The following is a 19692-nucleotide window of genomic DNA, read 5'->3' on the forward strand; positions in this document are numbered from 1 at the left end:
AGAGGTCCACCATGCATTATACTTCCTTCTTCACCATGAGAGGTGCAAGATGGAATAATTTGTCTTTCATTTTGAAGGGATGTTCCAGCATGTTTCTGTCCATAGAACCCCTAAAAATGTTACCAATGTGGCCAGTCCTCAAATCTCTGTAGGGGTTTTTCTCCCACCTTCTGGAGCACATGTGCCTTACCAAGGCCTCCAATGTCCTAGCCACCTCCTGCTTATCTAGCCCAGTCAACATGATGTCAGCTATGTAATGGATCAATGCAGATGGTCCAGATAGTGCAGATATCTTCAGACAACATTACAACAGAGAGTGAGTTAACATAACCTCAGGGGAAACTGTATATGTATATTGTTGTCTGTTCCATGTGAAAGTGAACTATTTCTGATCCTCTTTTTCTAATTGTGATAGAAAATAACACATTTGCTGGATCAATGGCTGCATAGCATGTGCCTCATTTTGAATCGCTGCTGTATTCTGGATATTTATGTCTACCCAAAATTCATATGTTGAAACGCTAACACCCAAAGCGATGGCATTAGGAGGTACAGCCATTGGGAGGGGATTAGGTCATGAAGGCAGAGCCCTCATGAATGAGATTAGTTAGTGCCCTAATAAAAGAAGCTTGAGAGAGACTCCTTGCCTCTTCCACAATGTACAGACACAGTGAGAAGCACCATCTATGAACCAGAAAGTGAATCGATACCAAATCTGCCAATGCTTTGATCTCGGACTACTCAGCCTCCAGAACTGTGAGAAATAAATTTCTGTTCTTGCAAGCTACCCAGTTTAAAGTATTTTGTTAAAGCAGCTCAAAGAGACTAAGGCCATCACCCTGCTTTAGCAAAGCCACCTCACCTAATGCAGCAGCTGCAATCAGGGCATGACTTGGTTGAACCTGTGGTATATCTATAGTCTTCCTCCAGGATCCAACCAGTTTAACTGGTGATCAAAAGGAGATATGATAGGGCTTACAATCTCTGTATCCTTTACACTCTTAAAAGTGTCCCTAATATCTGCATTGCCACCACCTCATGCAATATTATTTATGACCAACTATCTTGTCTGGGTGGAAAGGTGGGCAGTTTCAGAGGTTTCCACTTGGCCATTCTCGCAGTACCTCTTACCCCACAGGCCAAGGACCCAAAGTGAGGGCTGCATCAACTGCTAAATATGTTGATCTAATTATATATTTTGGAAATAAAAGTCATCCAAATTGCAAAGGAAGAAGTAAAACTGTCTCTATTTTCAGATAACATAATCCTACATATAGAAAATTCCAAAGAATCTACATGGAAGCTACTAGAGCTAATAAATACATTCAGCAAAGCTTCAGGGTACAAGATCAACACATAAAAATCAGTTTTGTTTCTAAACACTTGCAATGAACAATCCAAAAAGAAAATTAAGAAGATGGTTTCACTTATAATGACCTAAAAGGAATAATATACCAGAGAATAAAATTAACCAAGGAAGTGAAAGACTTGCACACTGAAAACTAAAAAACATGTTGAAAGAAGGGAGATCTAAATAGATGAAAAGACATCCCGTGTTCTAGATGGAAAGACTTAATATTGTTAAGATAATAACACTACCCAAAGCAATCTAGAGATTTAACACCATCCTTGTTCAAATTCCAACAGTGTTCTTTGCAGAACTGGGAAAGCCAACCCTCAAATTTATATGTAATTGCAAGGGACCCCAAATAGCCACACAATCTTGGAAAAAATGAACAAAGGTGGAAGACCCACATCTCCTGATTTCAAAACTTACTATAAAGCTAAAGTAATCAAAGCAATATGGTACTGGCATAAAGATAGACACACTGACCAATGGAATAGAATTGAGAGTCCAGAAATTAATCATACATGTGTGGCCAATTGATTTTTGATAAGGTGCCAACTCTGTCAATGGGGAAAGAATAGTCTCTCCAACAAATGGTGCTGGGACAACTGGATTTCCACATTCAAAAGAATGAAGTTAGACCCCCTACCTCACATATAAATAAAACTTAGCTCAAAAAAGATCAATGATCTAAATATAAGAAAGAAACCTATAAAAATCTTAGAAGAGGCCGGGCGCGGTGGCTCACGCCTGTAATCCCAGCACTTTGGGAGGCCGAGGTGGGCGAATCACGAGGTCAGGAGATCGAGACCATCCTGGCTAACACGGTGAAACCCCGTCTCTACTAAAAATACAAAAAAATTAGCCAGGCATGGTAGCGGGCGCCTGTAGTCCCAGCTACTTGGGAGGCTGAGGCAGGAGAATGGCGTGAACCTGGGAGGCGGAGCTTGCAGTGAGCCAAGATCTCACCACTGCACTCCAGCCTTGGCGACAGCGAGACTCCGTCTCAAAAAAAAAAAAAAAAAAAATCTTAGAAGAAAACATAGGGGTGAGTCTTCATAACCTTGGATTGGGCACTGGGCTTTTAGGGGAGAATCCATTCCTTGTATTCTTCAGCTTCTAGGGGCATCTGCTTTCCTCTGCTCATGACCCTTTCCCAGGAGTGGTATTACTCCAACCTCCACTTCTGTCATCACAGCTCCTTCTCTGACTGACCAAAAGCATAAGTGACAAATGAAAAAATAAATTGGACTTCATCAAACTGTACAACTTTTTCCATCTAAGGATGATTGTTAAGAGGGTAAAAAAACAGCCTATGGAATAGAAGAAAATATTTGGAAATTATTTATCTGATGAGGATTAATATCCTGAATATATAAAGAACTCTTAACACTCAACAATAAAAAGACAAACAACACAATTAAAAAACAGCAAAGGACTTGAATAGACATTTCTCCAAAGAAATATATATATGGCCAATAAGCACATGAAAATATACCTAATATCTTAAGTCATTAGGGAAACACAAATCAAAGCCACAATGAGATACCACTTCATGCCTACAAGGATGACTATAATAACAATAATCAGAATGTAACAAGTGTTGGCAAGGATGTGGAGATATTAGAATTGTTAGTGGTATGGAAAATAGTTTGACACTTCCTTAAAATGCTGAACATATAATCATCATACGACTCAGCAATTTCACTCCTAGGTTTATACCCAAAATAATTCAGAACAAGACTCAAACAGATACTGGTACAGCAATATTCACAGCAGCATTATTTACAATAGCCAAAAGGTGGAAGCAATTCAAGTGTTCATCAATGAATGAATGGATACACAAAATGTGGCATATACACATAGTGGAATGTTATCTGGCCAGAATAAGGAAAGAAGTTCTCACACATGCTACAGTGTGGCTGAACTTTGAAGACACTGTGTTGAATGAAACAAGCCAGACACAAAAGGACAAATATTGTATAATTCCACTTATATGATCTATCTAGATTAGGCAAGCAGAATGTACATTAGAGGTTACCAGCAGCTGCAGGGAGGGGAAGATGGGGAGTTATTGCTTAATGGTTCCAGAATTTTGGTTTAGGATCATGAAAAAGTTCTGGAAATAGGTAGTGATGATGGTTGCAAAACATTGTGAATGGAATTAATGCCACTGAATTTTCTACTTATAAATGGTTAACATACCAAATTTTATGTTTGATTATTTTACCAGAGGTAGATGGCACTGCAGTCACAGTCAGGGACATTGGTGAAAGGAAATCTTCCCAAAACTTCAGGTCATACATCAGCATGTCCACTTGTGTGGATGAAGAGGTCTGGATCTACACTGATTCACAAGCGGTGACTTATGGGATGAAAGAACAAAATTAGAGAGCTGGTGGCAAGGAGCTCTTGGAGAAAGGAATGTGAATAAAGCTCTTGGAATGTGAAGTAATTCACAATCCAAGGGAATCCTCCCAAGAGACCAGAATCAAGGCCCTCATACAATAATCAGGTTCACAAGATGGCATGTCCTGTAGCTGTCAGTCAGCCCGTTTCCCTACCACACTGTACAATTACAAAGTGGCCCTGGGGGCAGGATGAGAGTTGTGCAGGACTGAAAAACGGGGCCTTCTCCCTACTAATATGGATCTGGGTACTTCCAATAGTACGCAGCTGAGTCCCTGATATGGCACCATTCTCCTGGGGAGCTGGAACATACAGTGGGCAACGTGCTACCTCTTGAGGGGTTTATCACGCTGGCCTCTGTCATCATAGAGGAGATAGCAATCTGTCTTCAAAAGGATAAACTCATAATCTAGGTATGAATTTGCCTCTCCTGTCCTCAGGGTTCTGCCAGACCCTCAGAGTGTGGGCTTCAAGAATTCCTGATTCATAGCCAAATAGCCAGGAGACACCATGTATGATGATGAAAGTTCATGAAATGCACTGGTCTTACCCCAAGCCCCAACATCACCTGGAAGCAGCATTCACAGAATGGTAGGATGGTCTGCTGGAGGCTCAGTTATGGTAGCAGATGGGAGGTGGCACCCTCAGAGTTGCTGGAGGCTGTCTAACAACAATCAGCAAATACCTCAAACCAATGGCCAATATTTGGTTGATCTCTCCAGGAGCCAGATACATGGGTCTAAGAATCAAAGGGTTGAGGTGGCTGTGTTTCTGAGCCTGTAATACCTAAAAACTCACTGGAGGAATTTTTGCTTCTCATTCTGTTGTCTTGGAATGGATGATTTTGGAAGTCCCAGAAGGAACACAACCACGGCACTGTGTTAAGTTAGAAGCTGAGATGACCCCTGGCCATTTGGGGTTCCTCAGCTGCTGAACCAAAGGGCCTGGAAAGGGTCACTTAACTGAGATCTTAGTTACCAGGAAAAAAAAAGCTGCATTATTGCTACCCCATGGGGACAGGGAGGATTGCATAGGTAGCCCAGGGATTCTCAGGAGCCGCAGCCTTCTGGTACTTTCTTGCCCAGCAGTCCTCACCCACAGAAAACTGCAGTGAACTGAGGACTCAAACCTGTTTGGATTGGAGGTTTAGGTCAACACCCTACAACAGAGACCTTCGCCCAGCTAAGGGCTGCAGAGAGTAGGAGGAACATGTTATAAAATCAGCTGCAGTTCCCGGGGGGGGCCTCAGAACCAGCTACAGAAGAGGAGACGGCAGCAGATACGTTTGTGTTCATTGTTTTCATTCTTCCTTTTTTCTCATCACCCCTGCTACATTGCATGAAGAGCACTGTTAGGGCTAAAATGTCAAGTTTCACAGGGGCCTATGGCTGAACTGACATCACGTGCCATGATGCAATATCTAGCGAGATTTTGCATGTCCCTCTTTAGAGACCATGAGTATTTTTTAGCTGAACAGAAGACAAGAGGAGAGAGACTCTACAGGATATTTTGTATCAGCCCATCCAGATCCACTTTTCATCCTTCTCCTGCTTCGTGGCTGGGAGGCAGGTTCTCTGGGTGGCATCCACTGGGTTCCTTGCACTCTGGTTTCTGGCTGGGACCAGCCAATGGTGGCACCATTAGGAACCTGAGGTCACCACCCCCACAGTGGGTTTCTCTACTGACAGCTCCTGCCTGCCTGGAGCTGCTCCTCTAGGTTCTGCTAGCAATCCTCTCCCTTGGCCTCTGCAGGGCCATGAGGGGTCACCGCCTACCACCATTGCTAGTCACAGGATTCTGCGCTAGTCTTTGTTTCCTTCCCTAACCCCTGGCCACAGCTTGTCAATATCCCTTCTTTAAACTCTTCTCAATTCCAGTTGGACAGCCTGATTTACTTCCTGCTGGATCTCAGACTTGTCTGAAAACAACAAAATAAAATAAAAGATAAAAAATCCATTGAAACTCTTTTTAAAATTGTGAAATATAATTGACACGAAGAAAAGCGTATATAACATGGATCTAATGTTGAACAGGTCGTTATAAATGGAACACCCATGCTACCACCATCCGAAAATGAAAACTGGACTGTGGTCAGTATTTCCGAAGCCCACACTGACTGTGTATTCCTTTCTCCATTCAGAGACGTGTCCTATGGCTGCTGTCACAATTTACCACAAACTTAGTGGCTTAAAACAACACAAACTTATTATCTTACAGTTCTGGTCATCAAAAGTCTACAAATAAGTTTTGCAGGCTAAAATCCAGGTGTCGGCAGGGCTGTGTTCCTTCCAGGAGCTCTGGGGGAGAATCAGGCTCTTGTCTATTCTGGCCTCTAGAGGTACCTGCATTCCTCTGTTCCTGGCCTTTCCCAACAATGGCACCTCCTCTGACCCTCCTGCTACCCTTTTAGAAGGACCGTTGTGATTACTCTGTGCTCCCCGGGAACCTGTGAATATGTTACCTTACAAGGCAAACAGGGCTTTGACCCTTTCCACCTCAGGATCCTTAACTTACTCACATCTGTAAAGCCCTTTTAACATATAACGTAACATATTCACAAGTTCCGGGGATTAGGTTGTGGACATCTTTGGGGCCATTATTCTGACTGCCATACCGACTGTCTGGATGTTTATGGTAATCATTTCTTTGAATAAAGTTTTTTTTAAATATGAATTGACTAGGCCCATTTATCACTGCTGACTTTCTGTTCAGGCCACTGCCTGGTCACTGGTCAGCCTGTAGTGGGCTGCTTTTCACTCAGCCATCAGCCCTGGCCTCTTCCATTTTAGGAAGACAGAATGCCATGGTACAAGGCAGGCATTCCTCATATGAACAAGGAATGGCTTCTGGCCACTTTTTGTTCATGAGCTTTTCTCTAGTACTATGACCTTGAGAGGTATAATATTATCCCCACCTTACAAATAAGGAGACTGAGGCTTACGGAGCTAAAGTAACGGCTTCCCATTGCTCAGCTAATACATGGCAGAGCTGCAATTCAATGCCAAATTTGGTGGGACTTCAAAACCACTCTACCCCATCACACTGCTACCCTTGAAGAGAAAGCAATTCTCTTCATCTGAGGCCACAGCATTAAGGTGGCCTTAATTAATGTGACACCCCCATGCAAATACACTCTTGACACAGCAGCCTGAGAACAGAAAAAAGTGTTTTGAACTATGAGCCCTGAAAAATCAGGAGCAGCTGTAATTTACATTTCTGTAAAATTTCCACTTTATGTAGCAAAAAAACCCAAACAAACAAACAAACAAACAAAAAACCTGTCCACGAGTTGCCTTAGCAGATACGTGGCTTCTTTCATGTGAGCAGAATGGCGTGTTGGTTAATGGCTCTCATAACAAAATATGTCCTGGGGTCATTATTTATAATAGGCAGCAACAACAAGCAGTAACAAAGCTGGCATGCAGCAATAGGCAGTGTAAAATTTTAATGGGAGGCATTTTCTGGATTTTGATTCTAAATGCCTTGTTGTTACAAAATGAAAACAGCTTTCAAGAAGGATAGGCATCATGTCGGAGGTGAGGAGGTAGAACTCCTCAAGTAAGTTTGCTTAAGACACCAGAGGAAAGAAGCCTGGCCAACTCGCTTCTCCCTGACACTTAAATTACATCATGATCAATAATAACACCAAATTACACACCATCTGAGAACAGCTAACTGCTTAGCACACACATAACATGAACAGGAAAATATAGGTTAGTATTCCCATGCCAAGATCAACTCAGAAGAACCTGTCTGACACCTACTATGTACTGGGTGTGGTACTAGGGACTGTGGAAACAGTAGGAATGCATCTGATATAGCAACCATGACATCAAACAGCTTGACATCCGGCATTACTGCGTGGGACAGACCCACAACTCTGCCAGAACTCAGAACTGTCAGTTGTGCTGGGGAGGCAACAGACTGGCGGTCATGGAGGGGCAGGACTTACAGAAAGTGAAGAAGAGTCAGGCAAACAAGGGCAAAAGCAACACAAAGTTTAGGGCAAGGAATCTGTGTTCATCAGGGTTCTACAGGGAAACAGGACCCATAGACTGTAGAGAGATTTATACAAAGAGAATGCGTATATGGTATTGGCTTACACGATTATGGAGGCTGAGAAGTCCCATGATCTGCCATCTTCGAGCTGGAGGCCCAGGAAAGCTGGTGGTTTGGTTCTAGCCCAAGCCCGAAGGCCTCAGAGTGAGGGTAGCCAATGGTGTAAGTACCAGTCCTAGTCTAAAGGCCCAAGAACCTGGAGCTCTTATGTCCAGGGCTAGGAGAAGATGGATGTCCCAGTTCAAGAAGAGACAGCAAAACTGCCCTTCTCTCTGCTCTTTGTTCTATTTGGGCCCTCATGGGATGGGACAATGCCCACCCATGCTGGTGAGCATGATCTTCTGACTCAATCCACTGATTCAAATGCTCATCTCTTCCAGAAATGCCTCACAGACACACACAGAAACAATGTTTTGCCAGTTATCTGGGCGACTTCTAGCCCAGTCAAGTTGACACATGAGATGGACCATCACAGAAACCATATAAAAATTATTATTTATTGCGTGGGTTTCAAATTGCAGGTTTTGACTCGTTCATGTATTGTGAAATCGATTCAGTGGAGTTTGAAAAGTGCAATGGGACAAGATAGAAAATAGAGTATGTTGCACATAGTAACGTCAAGTATTATAAAAATTTTAATATAGTTTTATATAGGCAGATACATATGTGCATGGTTCACAATGTGAAATGTATTTCTTACTGCAGGTGACAGTCCAGAAAAGATGATAAAACCCTGATTGAAGAGAAGTTGTTGTGAACTCATTATAAAACCCTGGGGCCTGTTAATCAAACCCATTACGTGAATCTACTTTTCTTGAAACACAAATCACCCAGTGATATGGTCAGGGTTCAGCAGCCGTTTCTCCTGCGAGTGCCACAGAATAAGTGTGCCTGGAGCATAATAGTATTAACAATGGGCTGGCACTTATGGAGTACCACCATGTCCCAAGTTCTTCACGTGTATTCTTTCTTCACAAGCCCCCATGCAGGAGGTACTATTATTATGCTTATTTTACAGATGGGGACACTGGGCACAAGAACCAACACCTTCCCAGGGCTGTGCAGCTAGGAAGGGCAGAAAACAGCCTGGAATTCAGCATGATCCCTTCATGTTTAGCTTATTTCACACTGACTCCTGCTAAGACTGTAAGCTTTTTGAAGGCAAAATCTGTCTCATTCCACCTGACATATGTTTGTTTATTGTTTGGTATTCGTGTTATCTCTTGCTGCATAACAACTACCCATACCTAATGGCATTGAACAACCATATTTTATTATGCTCCTGGATTCCCTTGGTCAGGAATTTGGATGGGATACGGAGGGGATGAGTAATCTCTTCTCTACAATGCTGGGGTCACAGCTAGAAAGATTCAAACAGCTGGAGGTAACTTGAAGGCCAGACATTGGAATCACCACATTTATTCATACATCTGGTGCCTGGGCTGAGATGCCTCAAAGGCTGAGACGGTTGACCTGAGCAACTTTCTCTGACCTCTCCCTGTGGCTTGGACCTCTCCCAGGCTGAGTTCCGAGTGGGTGTCTCCCAGGAGGGAATATTGGAAGGTAAGCATTCCAAGTGAGCCAGAGGGTGCATGCCTGTTATGATCTAGTCCCAGGAGACCACGTATTAGCTCTTCCAGCATTCCCCATTGGCAAGTCCATCCAGGGGTCCACAGGGAGGGGACGTGGACCCCACCTCCTGATATTTTAGAACCACCCTATATGACATTCTCAACTTTTTTTTTAGTTTCCAACTAGGATATGAAATTTCCTTGTGAGGACAACTGGATTTCCTCTGATGTGGGAGAGTGAGTGGCTCAAATTCCTTGTGATGCATAGGGCCCTTTGCGGTTAATAATCTGCTGTTGATTAGAATGATCTGTTGTCTCTATAATAGTAAATGGGCTGCAGCCACAGATATATTTACTGCCTTAATTTAGTTGCTAGCACTAGGCTTATTTTAAAGTATTTTCTCTCCATTTGGTCTAAATGTCTTTTATCTAAGCTTATCTTCAGTGTCAATAAGCTTAGCATTCCTCAACAGCTGGAAGCCCAGATATTATACATCTCCCCTTCTATTAATCTTCTGTAAGTTGATCTTTATAGCCATCTAATCCATTCATCACCGCAAGCTGTCCTTTCCACACTTGTATGGTCTTCCATTTAGCTAAACCAAACTCTATTGCTTTATCAAGACTGAAGTTCTTTGTCATTGTCATAGTTTATAGGGTTCTCTCTTAGAGCTGGTTTGAAGTGTCAGATTGTCCACAAAGAACAAATGGGTCCTCATAAAGTTCTTCACTGTGTTTCATCTGAACACATTACTAGACACTTTTGGTAAAAATTATTTCCCAAAAGAATCAGAAGATCTGAGTATCCCCCAAATATTTCATTCTTCAAGAAGACCTACAATTTGACAGTTCTCCCATGTGCAGAACCAGACCCTACATTTCACTTGTTCATCTCATTCCACGAAAGCCTTAGACTCAATTTTACATTATGGCTACATTATGTCTAATTGATACAAAGTACACCAAAAAGTTTCTTTAAAAATCACTATAATCCATATTACAAGAGAGGGAAGGAAAAGAGAGTTGCAAGTGAGGGAATGAAAGTGGTAGACCAAACACTGCATATTCTCACTCATAGGTGGGAATTGAACAATGAGATCACATGGACACAGGAAGGGGAATATCACACTCTGGGGACTGTGGTGGGGTAGGGGGAGGGGGGAGGGATAGCATTGGGAGATATACCTAATGCTAGATGATGAGTTAGTGGGTGCAGTGCACCAGCATGGCACATGTATACATATGTAACTAACCTGCACAATGTGCACATGTACCCTAAAACTTAAAGTATAATAAAAAAAAACAAACAAACAAACAAAAAAAAGAAAGTGGTAGAAAGGTACAAGGAAAAGAGAAAGGTTTATTCTCTTCAGAACAAGGTCACTGAAATCCAGGACCACGCCAGGGCAAGTAACTGCGCTTCCCCTTTTGGGGATGAGAATATACAGCAACCAGGAAGTGAAGATACAAAATCAGAGACTCATCATCGGGGCACTCTAATGTCCCTCACAGAGGCAGGTCTCTTCCTCTCCAGGCCCTGCCCACCCCAGGGAGGTGCTGGCAGGTGAGCAGGTTTGAGTCACCTGGGCTAGTTGCTGGGCTGGCTACAGGACATGGAAATCCTGGCCTGGGCCGAACTCCTTGGGAGGACAGTCTATTATCTGTGTGTATGTTATGTGAAGTATTGTTTGTACCAGTACCAGGTGGGGCAATGGACAGGATGTTATGGGGAACACTGAGACTTGATAACAGTTCCAACTCTCAGCACGTGCACAGTCTAGAGAGGCTGATACAACGCACACAGCAACCAACAGCTCTCATCACAACCAACAGCTCTAATCATGAATGCAGCGCAGGCCCAGGGTCTCAGACTGAAGAGACCTTCCTCAGCCTGAGGTTGTCAGGGACAGATTCACAAGAGGAGGTAAGGCGTGGGGAGGCAGGAGAGGGAACATTATGTTCCATTAACTGAGACCAGTTTGACTGGGGTGAGGGGACAGAGAATAAACCCTTCCCTTCAGCATCCCAAGGATCATTTCCTGGATCCGTGGTAGTAGGGAAACCCACAGTGTCTAGGAATCCCACTGAGGCCGGCAGTAGGCATCCGCACCCACTCTCTGGCCTTTGGCGAGGAGAGAAGAGCCATTTTCTCTTCTGCACATTCTGCTTCTACTGCAGCAGAAAGCAGGCATGGGCCCTGTTTGTCTGCTTAAAGTAAAGCTGTGACTCCTCTGGCAGTCATCCCTCTGGGATTCAGTCACTGTGGTCTCCCATGTAGGGGATAGCAGCAGTGTGAATGCTCCAAGCACCTTGCCAGCCATTTTGTGCCAGACACTGTACACCTATAAATGCCCCTGGCAGCCCCAATACACAGGTTCGATCCACAACCCCAATTTTTCCTGATGAAGTAACTGAGGCACAGAGATGCCAAGTAATTCAGCCAAGGTCACACGGCTAGCAATAGGTGTGGGATTGAAAGCCAAGTGGTCTGAGTCCAGAGCCTGCCTCTTGGCCACTCTGCCCTGCCACCTCTTAACACTGCCCTTCAAGCCACTTACGGACAGCCAGCCTTGGCTCTGCCACTAGGGGAGTTCAGGGAAGCTGACTGTCCAGGTGCCCTTGCCATGGCCTGAGCCGAGCCTCTTCATCTTCTTCAGATGGTCGTCTAAGGTACAGCCAAGCATCCACTTCCAACCCACACCTGCACAGGTCTTAAATACAGAATAAAGCTGGCACACTAACTTCCCTCTCTTGCTGTGCTCCAGCCTCAGGACACCAGGGAAACCAGTGGCAAATGCAGCTCTCCTGCTGGGGGCCAGACCCTGCAGAGCCTTCAGGAGCCCACTCATGGGACTCCAAGGGGCTGCAGGGGACACTTCAGCCCACCTCTGTAGTTTGTAACCTGCACTAGGGTTCAGACAGTTTGTGTGAATTGAATGGAAACTTTTATCATTCAAATCAAAGTTCTATGCATGCATTTTTCTAGAAGGATAGGCTTCAATCAAAATTTTCAAGAAGGCAGGGACGGGGTAATGAGTGTTTGGCCCTTGACTGATCATGTTCTCTAGTTCATGGTCTCTCAGTGACTGCAGGCCAGCAACAGATTTGCAGGACTCTTGTCCACCAGCAGCTTTGGACAAAATTCGGGTCCAACCAAAGCTGAGCAGCACAGTCAAAGTGCTAAACACAGACCTGGAAAATAACTGTTCAATGAATAACTATCAGCTGTTCGGTGATAGTCGGAGGGCATTGGGAATTCTTCTTAATTTTGTAAAGTGGCATAATAATATTGTAATTATGTTTTTTAAAAGTCCTTAGCCTCGTTGATGGGGAAGGGAAGGAGTAGATGAAAGAATGGAAAATCTTGACAATCTTTGAAGCTGAGCACTTGTGGGTTCATTAATACTATTCTACTTTAAATTTTTTAGATTTCGCAATAAAAAGTTTTTTAAATAAAAATAAATCAAAGCTACTCTTTATACCAAGATGCAAACGTCTGAGTCAAGCAAATGACTGAGAATCTTACTTCTCCCAGAAAGGAAGCCTAGGAGTCTCCTCGCAGGCCCAGGCAGGATGGCACATACTTGTCCCACTCCCAGCCTGGACCCATCCCCACGGGTGCTGGGCATCGGGCCCAGGACAGAACAGGTAGCATCTGGGTCCGCCTCTTAAAGGGCTCAGATCCGGCATTCTCCTCTCAGCCTGCCACTCAGTATCCCTGCGTCCTCGGGCATTTCAACTCCCAGGTCTCAGTTTTGCTGCTCATAAAATGGTTGGACCATCCGAAAGCGAGGTGTGCGGGCGGGTGGAAGGAGGAAGGTGAGGGTTCTTCCTAGAGGTGACCAGGTGAGGCCGGGAGTCGAGCATTTTCATAAGATTGCTCGCGGACGCGGGGGTGGGTGGAGAGCATCACGATTAAGAAGGAACACACGCACGCACACACACACCTCCTTCCTCCTTCCCCTCCTCTTCCTCTCACCCCGCCCCCCGGGGGGCGGTACCCTAGTCTCCCGGGGGAGGTTTTGGGGCGGAGGACCGCGGAGGACTGCGCCCAGGAGGGTGGCCGGCCGCGGGAGGAGGACTTGGGGTCGGGCTGCTGCAGCTGGGTGGCCAGCGCCGCGGCGGCCCCTCCCCCGCTCTCCCTGGCCGCCGCCCCCTCCTCCTCCCGTCCTCCTCCTCCTCTCCCTCCTCCCGGTCCCCCATCCTCCTCCCGGCCCCCGGCAGCTGCGGCTCGGGGAGCAGCCGGCGGCGCCGCGGCCGCGCAGCCTTTGTCTCGGGCCGCCGGGCGCGCGGGGCCCAGCGCAGGCGTAAGTGACCGGTGGCCGGGCCGCGGGGGGTCGGCGGGGAGCGGGCTGGGGGTCGCGGGCGCTCCCTGCAGTGGGGAGGCCGGGCCGGCCAGATCCTCCCGCCACGCGTGTCCCGGGATGCTCGGGCGGTGCCGGCGCGCGGGGGCGCGAGGAGAGCCGAGCGGGGCCACCGCCCGGGAGGGCGCGGGACGCAGAGAGGGGCTCGGGGCCCGCCGGGCCGCGGGGTCGGGGGAGGGGGTGCAGGCTCGCGGGGCGCCGCAGCTTGGCGCCCACAGACGTGCGGCTTGGGTGCAAATCCTGTTTCTCTGGGCAGAGGCCACGCGGGGACGGAGGAGGCAGAGAGGACGGGCTGTGATGGAGAAACGGGAGAGGAGCCGGCCAGGCGCCACCGTCACCACCATCACCAACCACCACCACCATCACCATCACTGACTGTCGCCCATCCCAGCTCCCCTGCCTCACCTCCCATCTCATATCCCTGTGCAGTGCCAACTTTATCAGATCATCTCTTTTTCACTGGGTACTACTTTGGAAAAGCGACAGAGTGCGCCAAGTCAGGAATAAGTACATCCGCTGTGGGACATTTATCTTCCCCTTTCTATTTAGCTACCTCAATTTTCTCATCAGGAAAGGGGGCACAATGGCATTTCATTCCTCTAAATCACACTGAGATGGCTGGGTTGCTTCCAGTTTTTCCAGTCCTGGCACTGGACGGTTATACATGCTTGGTGATGATGATGATAAAGTAATGTCTTCATTAAATTGGACAGTTGGGAGTTTTCAGACTTACTCTTCTTTGACTTCTGAGTGTCAGTATACCAGTAGCAAATAGAAACATAAGGAAAGTGAAACTTTGGCTAACATAATACCAAGAATAGATGCAAAACAGGCACTTTTGTAGGGACATCACCCAAGAGACCTGCAGGCAATGGTATTCATCTGCAGTGTAGAAAGCACCCCATCAGTGCCAAGTGGCTGTGGGAGCTCCTCAATCTGGATGCACAGTTTCCCGTGGGGTTTTCACCCTACCTAAAGAATGCTTTAATTGCTGTTTTTCAAAATTGTCTTTCACCAGGCCCCAGGGACGGCTGACCATTCAGAACAAACACAGGGACAGAGCCCCAGGGCTGTTGGGAAGCCCAGCACCAGAGGGCATGAACCTTCTTAGGAGAAGTAAAACTTACAAAAAACAAGCTCTTAAACCCTCCGCCTTTTCCCCTATTGGTTAGAAAGTGAATCTTAAACTGTGTTTTATGTTCTAGTCTAATAAAAGACAGCTAGACAAGCCTACGTTTCTTGACATGCTTGGAAAATCATCTTCCCGAAAAGTCATGCAGCAGGGCTTTTTTTTTTTTTTTTTCGACTGAGTCTCACTCTGCCTCTCAGGCTGGAGTGGAGTGGCATGATCTCAGCTCAGTGCAACCTCTGCCTCCCGGGTTCAAGTGATTCTCCTGCCTCAGCCTCCCGAGTAGCTGGGATTACAGGCGTGGGCCACCATGCTTGGCTAATTTTTGTATTTTTAGTAGAGACAGGGTTTTACCATGTTGGCCAGGCTGGTCTCGAACTCCTAACCTCAGGTGATCCGCCCGCCTCGGCCTCCCGAAGAGTTGGGATTACAGGCGTAAGCCACCACGCCCAGCCAGGGCTCCTTTTTAATAGGGCTATGGAGTCCCCCACCTGGTGGTTTTTTTGCCCTGTGCCCTGTTTTTACAATTCAAGAAGGAAAGTGATCATATTAAAAATAATGTGAACCCAGCTGAGCTGCATTTGTCGTTACCATAGTTTAAGATTTCTCAAATGTTGAAGTATAATTATATGTCATTAACTCAAACCTCTCTAATTTGTGAAGTAGGGTTTTAAATAGGGTATGTAATTCTGTGGAGAATGACTCCGAAATCATTCTGAGGACCTGAAGTTTAAGTAAGGCATAGTCAGTCTAAAACAATGACATTGTCAGAACGAAGACTTAAAGAATTATTTAGCTATGTTTTTAATTCTGGATCTTTAGGAAATAATTAGCATCTCAAGGAAGCTTCATGCCAATGATAGTGTCTTAGTCTTTTGGGTCTGCTATCACAAAATGCCTTAGACTGGGTGATTCTGAACAAGAGAAAGGTATTGCTCACAGTTCTTGAGTCTGGCAAGTCGTGGATCCAGGTGCTGTGGATTCAGTGTCTGGTGAGGGCTAGCTCTCTGCTTCATAGATGGCACCTTCTATGTGTCCTCACATGGTACATGGGGCACACAGGCTCCCTTGGGCCTCTTTTATAAGGGCACTAATCCCATTCATGACATGGGGCGTTCAGAAGCTAATCTCCTAAAGTCCCACCTCTTGATACTGTTGCCTTGGGGATTAGGTTTCAACGTATGAATCTGTGGGGACACCAACATTCAGACTGTGACAGGTTGGCATTGAGTACCAAGTTATATCCAACACGCATTGTTTTAGCCCATACAAATTGTTATAGCCTATACTAATTCTATGTTAATTTAGGAACAATTCATTTGCTTTTGTTGAGATATGATTTACATACATAAAATGCACAACTCTTCAGTGGACAGCTTGATGAATTTTTGCCTATGTGCCCCCTGCAATAAGATACAGCCTATTTCCACAGGCCTAAGGGATCCCCTGATGCCCTTTCTAGTCAGTACCCCCCCAACAGAGCCACTATCCCTTCAATGGAGCCACTATTGGACTTCTATCAACATAGAAAAATAATTTCTTTTAAAATAATTTCTAAGTAATTTATTTTGCACTTCACTCCATTAAATGCAATTGGCCTATTCCTTAAATGCATTTGGCCTATTCCATTTATGACCAAATCTGGGGGCCCTGAGCCCAGTGCTGTGTAGACATGAGACTGTGTAGACCTGAGACATGGTATTATTAATACATAAGGCAAAAACTTCCACAAGCAGAAGCAATACCCTGTATGCAGATACAGAGGGTTAGGGGAACCCACAAGAGTCTGGGTCTAACCCAGTTTTGTTTTGTTTGTGGGGGGAAAGGGAAGGCTTTTTGGAGGATGTGAATTTTAAGTTGAAAATGGAAAACTGAGTAGAAGTGATCCAGCTAAAACGTGGTAGGAGGAAAATGAAAGCCTATTCTAGGTGGAAGGAACATCTTGAATTCCAGCCTCAGAAATAAGACAGCATGGAGTGTTTGAAGAGCAAAGCTAAGCTGAAGATGCTTGGAGTATAGGGCTGTGGGAGAAAAGTGGGAAATAATGCTGGAAAGGCCATAGGGACCCTTTCAGTTTGACACAAAGGCCCTGCTGAGGGGTGGGGCTTGGCTGTAAGAGCTAGGAGAGCTCTAGGACAGGCTTGCGTGGTGGGCATGGCAGGAGGAGACTTGAGGACTCAGCAGGCGGCCTTAGGGTCGGGAGATTACAGGAGGCGCAGGTGGGGGGCCAAGTGGTCATTCAGGTAAGAGACAGTGGTGACCTGGACTATGCAGTGGCAACAGGAATGGGGAGAAATGAATGAAATGGAAAGAGAATTACAAGGTAAAATGAACACAAATTGATGTTTGCTAGGTGAGAATTCAAGGATAGCCCTTAGGTTTCTTGGATCTTACAAAATGGATGGATAATGGTACTCTTGGAGAGATGAGAGAAGAATCTTGTATATATTATATGCTCCTTTGGTATGTTTCTTTCTGTGTGGACTTAGTTTCGGTTGCAAGTTAGTGTGATGCATTCAGGTAGAAATATCTACTGGGGAGTTGTAACTCATACTGACTGAGCACACTCCATATGCCAGGCATGCTCCGTCACTTAGGATGCAGTTGTGAACAAGACGATGAAAACCCTGCCTTTGTGAAACACAGGTGGGAGCTGCAGCCTGGGGACCCACAAGGTTTAAGTGGTGACAGAAGGCTTCAGAGTGAATGAGATGGCTCAGTCAGATTTCAGTGAAAGAGCAGCAGCCCAGGATAAAATCTCAAGAACGCTAAGAGACTAAGAAGGAACAAAGGAGAGATGGCAAGGAAAGCAAGAGAAGTTGGGCTTCACAGGCCTAGGGAGTGATCCCTAGTGTCATACACAACTGTGAAGTTAAGGGAGATGAGGACTAGAGATGATCTACTGCAGTGCTTCTCAAAGTGGGGTCCCCAGACCAGCAGCAGCAGCACCAGGAGCTTGTTGCAATTGCAGTTTCTTGAGATCTACTCCAGACCTGGTGACTCTGGGAGCTCTGAGGGAAGGGCCTAGCAATCTATGTTTTAACAAGGTTTCCCAGTGATCCTGATGCATGCTAATGTTTGAGCACCACAGCTCTATTGTGTTAATTGATAAGTCACTGGTGATGCAGCAACTTGGTGAAAATAACTTCATAAAATTTACACCCTGTTTGGGCAAATTTTAAAAATGTTTCGTGGGACTGTTAAAGTTTTATTCTATTTGTTTAGAAATTTCAAATGTTTTATTTTCTTTTGCAATAAAAATGTTGTTATTTTCTTTTGTACAGTTTGGGTTTTTTTCCCCTCTTTGATTATTCATTGACAGTTGATCCATATTTTTTTCCCATCTGTTCAGATTTTTGAAGTTTCATTCCTATCTCCTTTGAAACACATCACTTTACAGGGTCTCAACATGTTAGGGCACCTGCATCATTGATATTGGTTCATTGCCCAAAACAGAGTGCAATCATAAAGATAAGTGAGTCTCAACTCTGAATGGCAGCCTGAGAAAACACCTAGATGGTTAATTCAGCTCTTCCAAAAAGTTCCAAGACCCTATTAGGGATATATTTCTAATTATTTGAGCTTGTTACTCATGAGAAGTAATTGGAAGTGTGCCCTTTTCATCTCAAGTGATCCAATAACATAACCATAATTATTGTACTTCTGAAGCACTTATAAAGGAAAGAACTCTTACTAACTAGGTCTTTTTCTGGTGCTTTTGTTGCCAGCCTCTCAGGTACTTTATTGCATTTCACGGGAAGAATTAGAGCACAATATTTTGTTTTGCTATCATCAGGGAAAACCTATGGTAAATGAGAAGAAACTGATGCAGATACTACTCTTATAGTTATCCCTGTTTACTGAAAACTTTGCCTTTTATAAGAACAAAAACTGGTAAGTTGTTCCTGTACTCTGTATAGTAACAAGCACAAAGGAGGACCACAAATGTTGAGTGAATGGATGGACAGATGGATGGATGGATGGGTGGGTGGGTAGATGAATGAATCAGTGGGTGGGTAGGAAGATGATAAATGGATAGATATAGATACACATGTAGAGGGCAGACAAAAGAATGGATATGTGGATGGATGGGTGGGTGGATCAATAAACGGATGGATGGATGGATGGATGGATGGATGGATGGATGGATGGATGCATGGATGGATGCATGGATGGACAGATGAGTAGATGGATTAATCATTGGATAGATGGATGGGGTAGATGGATGGGTAAATAAATGGGGAGCTGAAAGAGTGAATGGATAAAAGATGGTGTGAGAGACTTCTACCTAAAGAGGCAAAAACAGTATTTTAAAAAAATATTATTCCACCTGAGGAAGGTACAGTACAATGAGCTGAACTGGGCTGAAGACTTGGATGGCTTAGTGACATTGTCCCTTATTTCTAATGTGATCTTGTTCAAATTCTCTAACATCTCTGAGCTCCTGATGTGAAAGGATAGTATCACCCACCCCACCTGCTGCCAAGTTTGTGGTCAGAACCAAATTATATAATGGCCGTGAATGTGTTGTTAAAATTGTAAAGCGCTAGAGAAGTGTAAATAATCCACGTTCTATGTGATTAGATAATGGATTGTCATTTGGGGTTGCTTTTAAATGTTAGGACTGCAGTTTTACTCTGTTTTGGGGACGTCTCATTCATTTGTGCACACACATTTGTCGTTGGTAAGCTTAATGTATCCAAGCATGGGGTGCATACCTGCCTGACCAACATGGAGAACTAAACTAACATCTCAACTAAAAATACAAAATTAGCCAGGTGTGGTGGCACATGCCTGTAATCCCAGCTACTC

The 19692-nt window shown here is 45.0% G+C and overlaps 1 long non-coding RNA gene across 1 annotated transcript; it reads left to right on the forward strand.

The window, feature by feature from the left end:
* Positions 1-13631: 13631 nt before the first annotated feature.
* Positions 13632-14943, forward strand: LINC01918 (long intergenic non-protein coding RNA 1918). The gene is made up of 3 exons (NR_136172.1): positions 13632-13694; positions 14008-14214; positions 14770-14943. It is a non-coding gene; the product is annotated as a long intergenic non-protein coding RNA 1918 (long non-coding RNA).
* The last annotated feature ends 4749 nt before the right edge of the window (positions 14944-19692 follow it).

Source organism: Homo sapiens, chromosome 2 (genome assembly GCF_000001405.40).
Source record: "Homo sapiens chromosome 2, GRCh38.p14 Primary Assembly".
Classification (NCBI taxonomy): domain Eukaryota; kingdom Metazoa; phylum Chordata; class Mammalia; order Primates; family Hominidae; genus Homo; species Homo sapiens.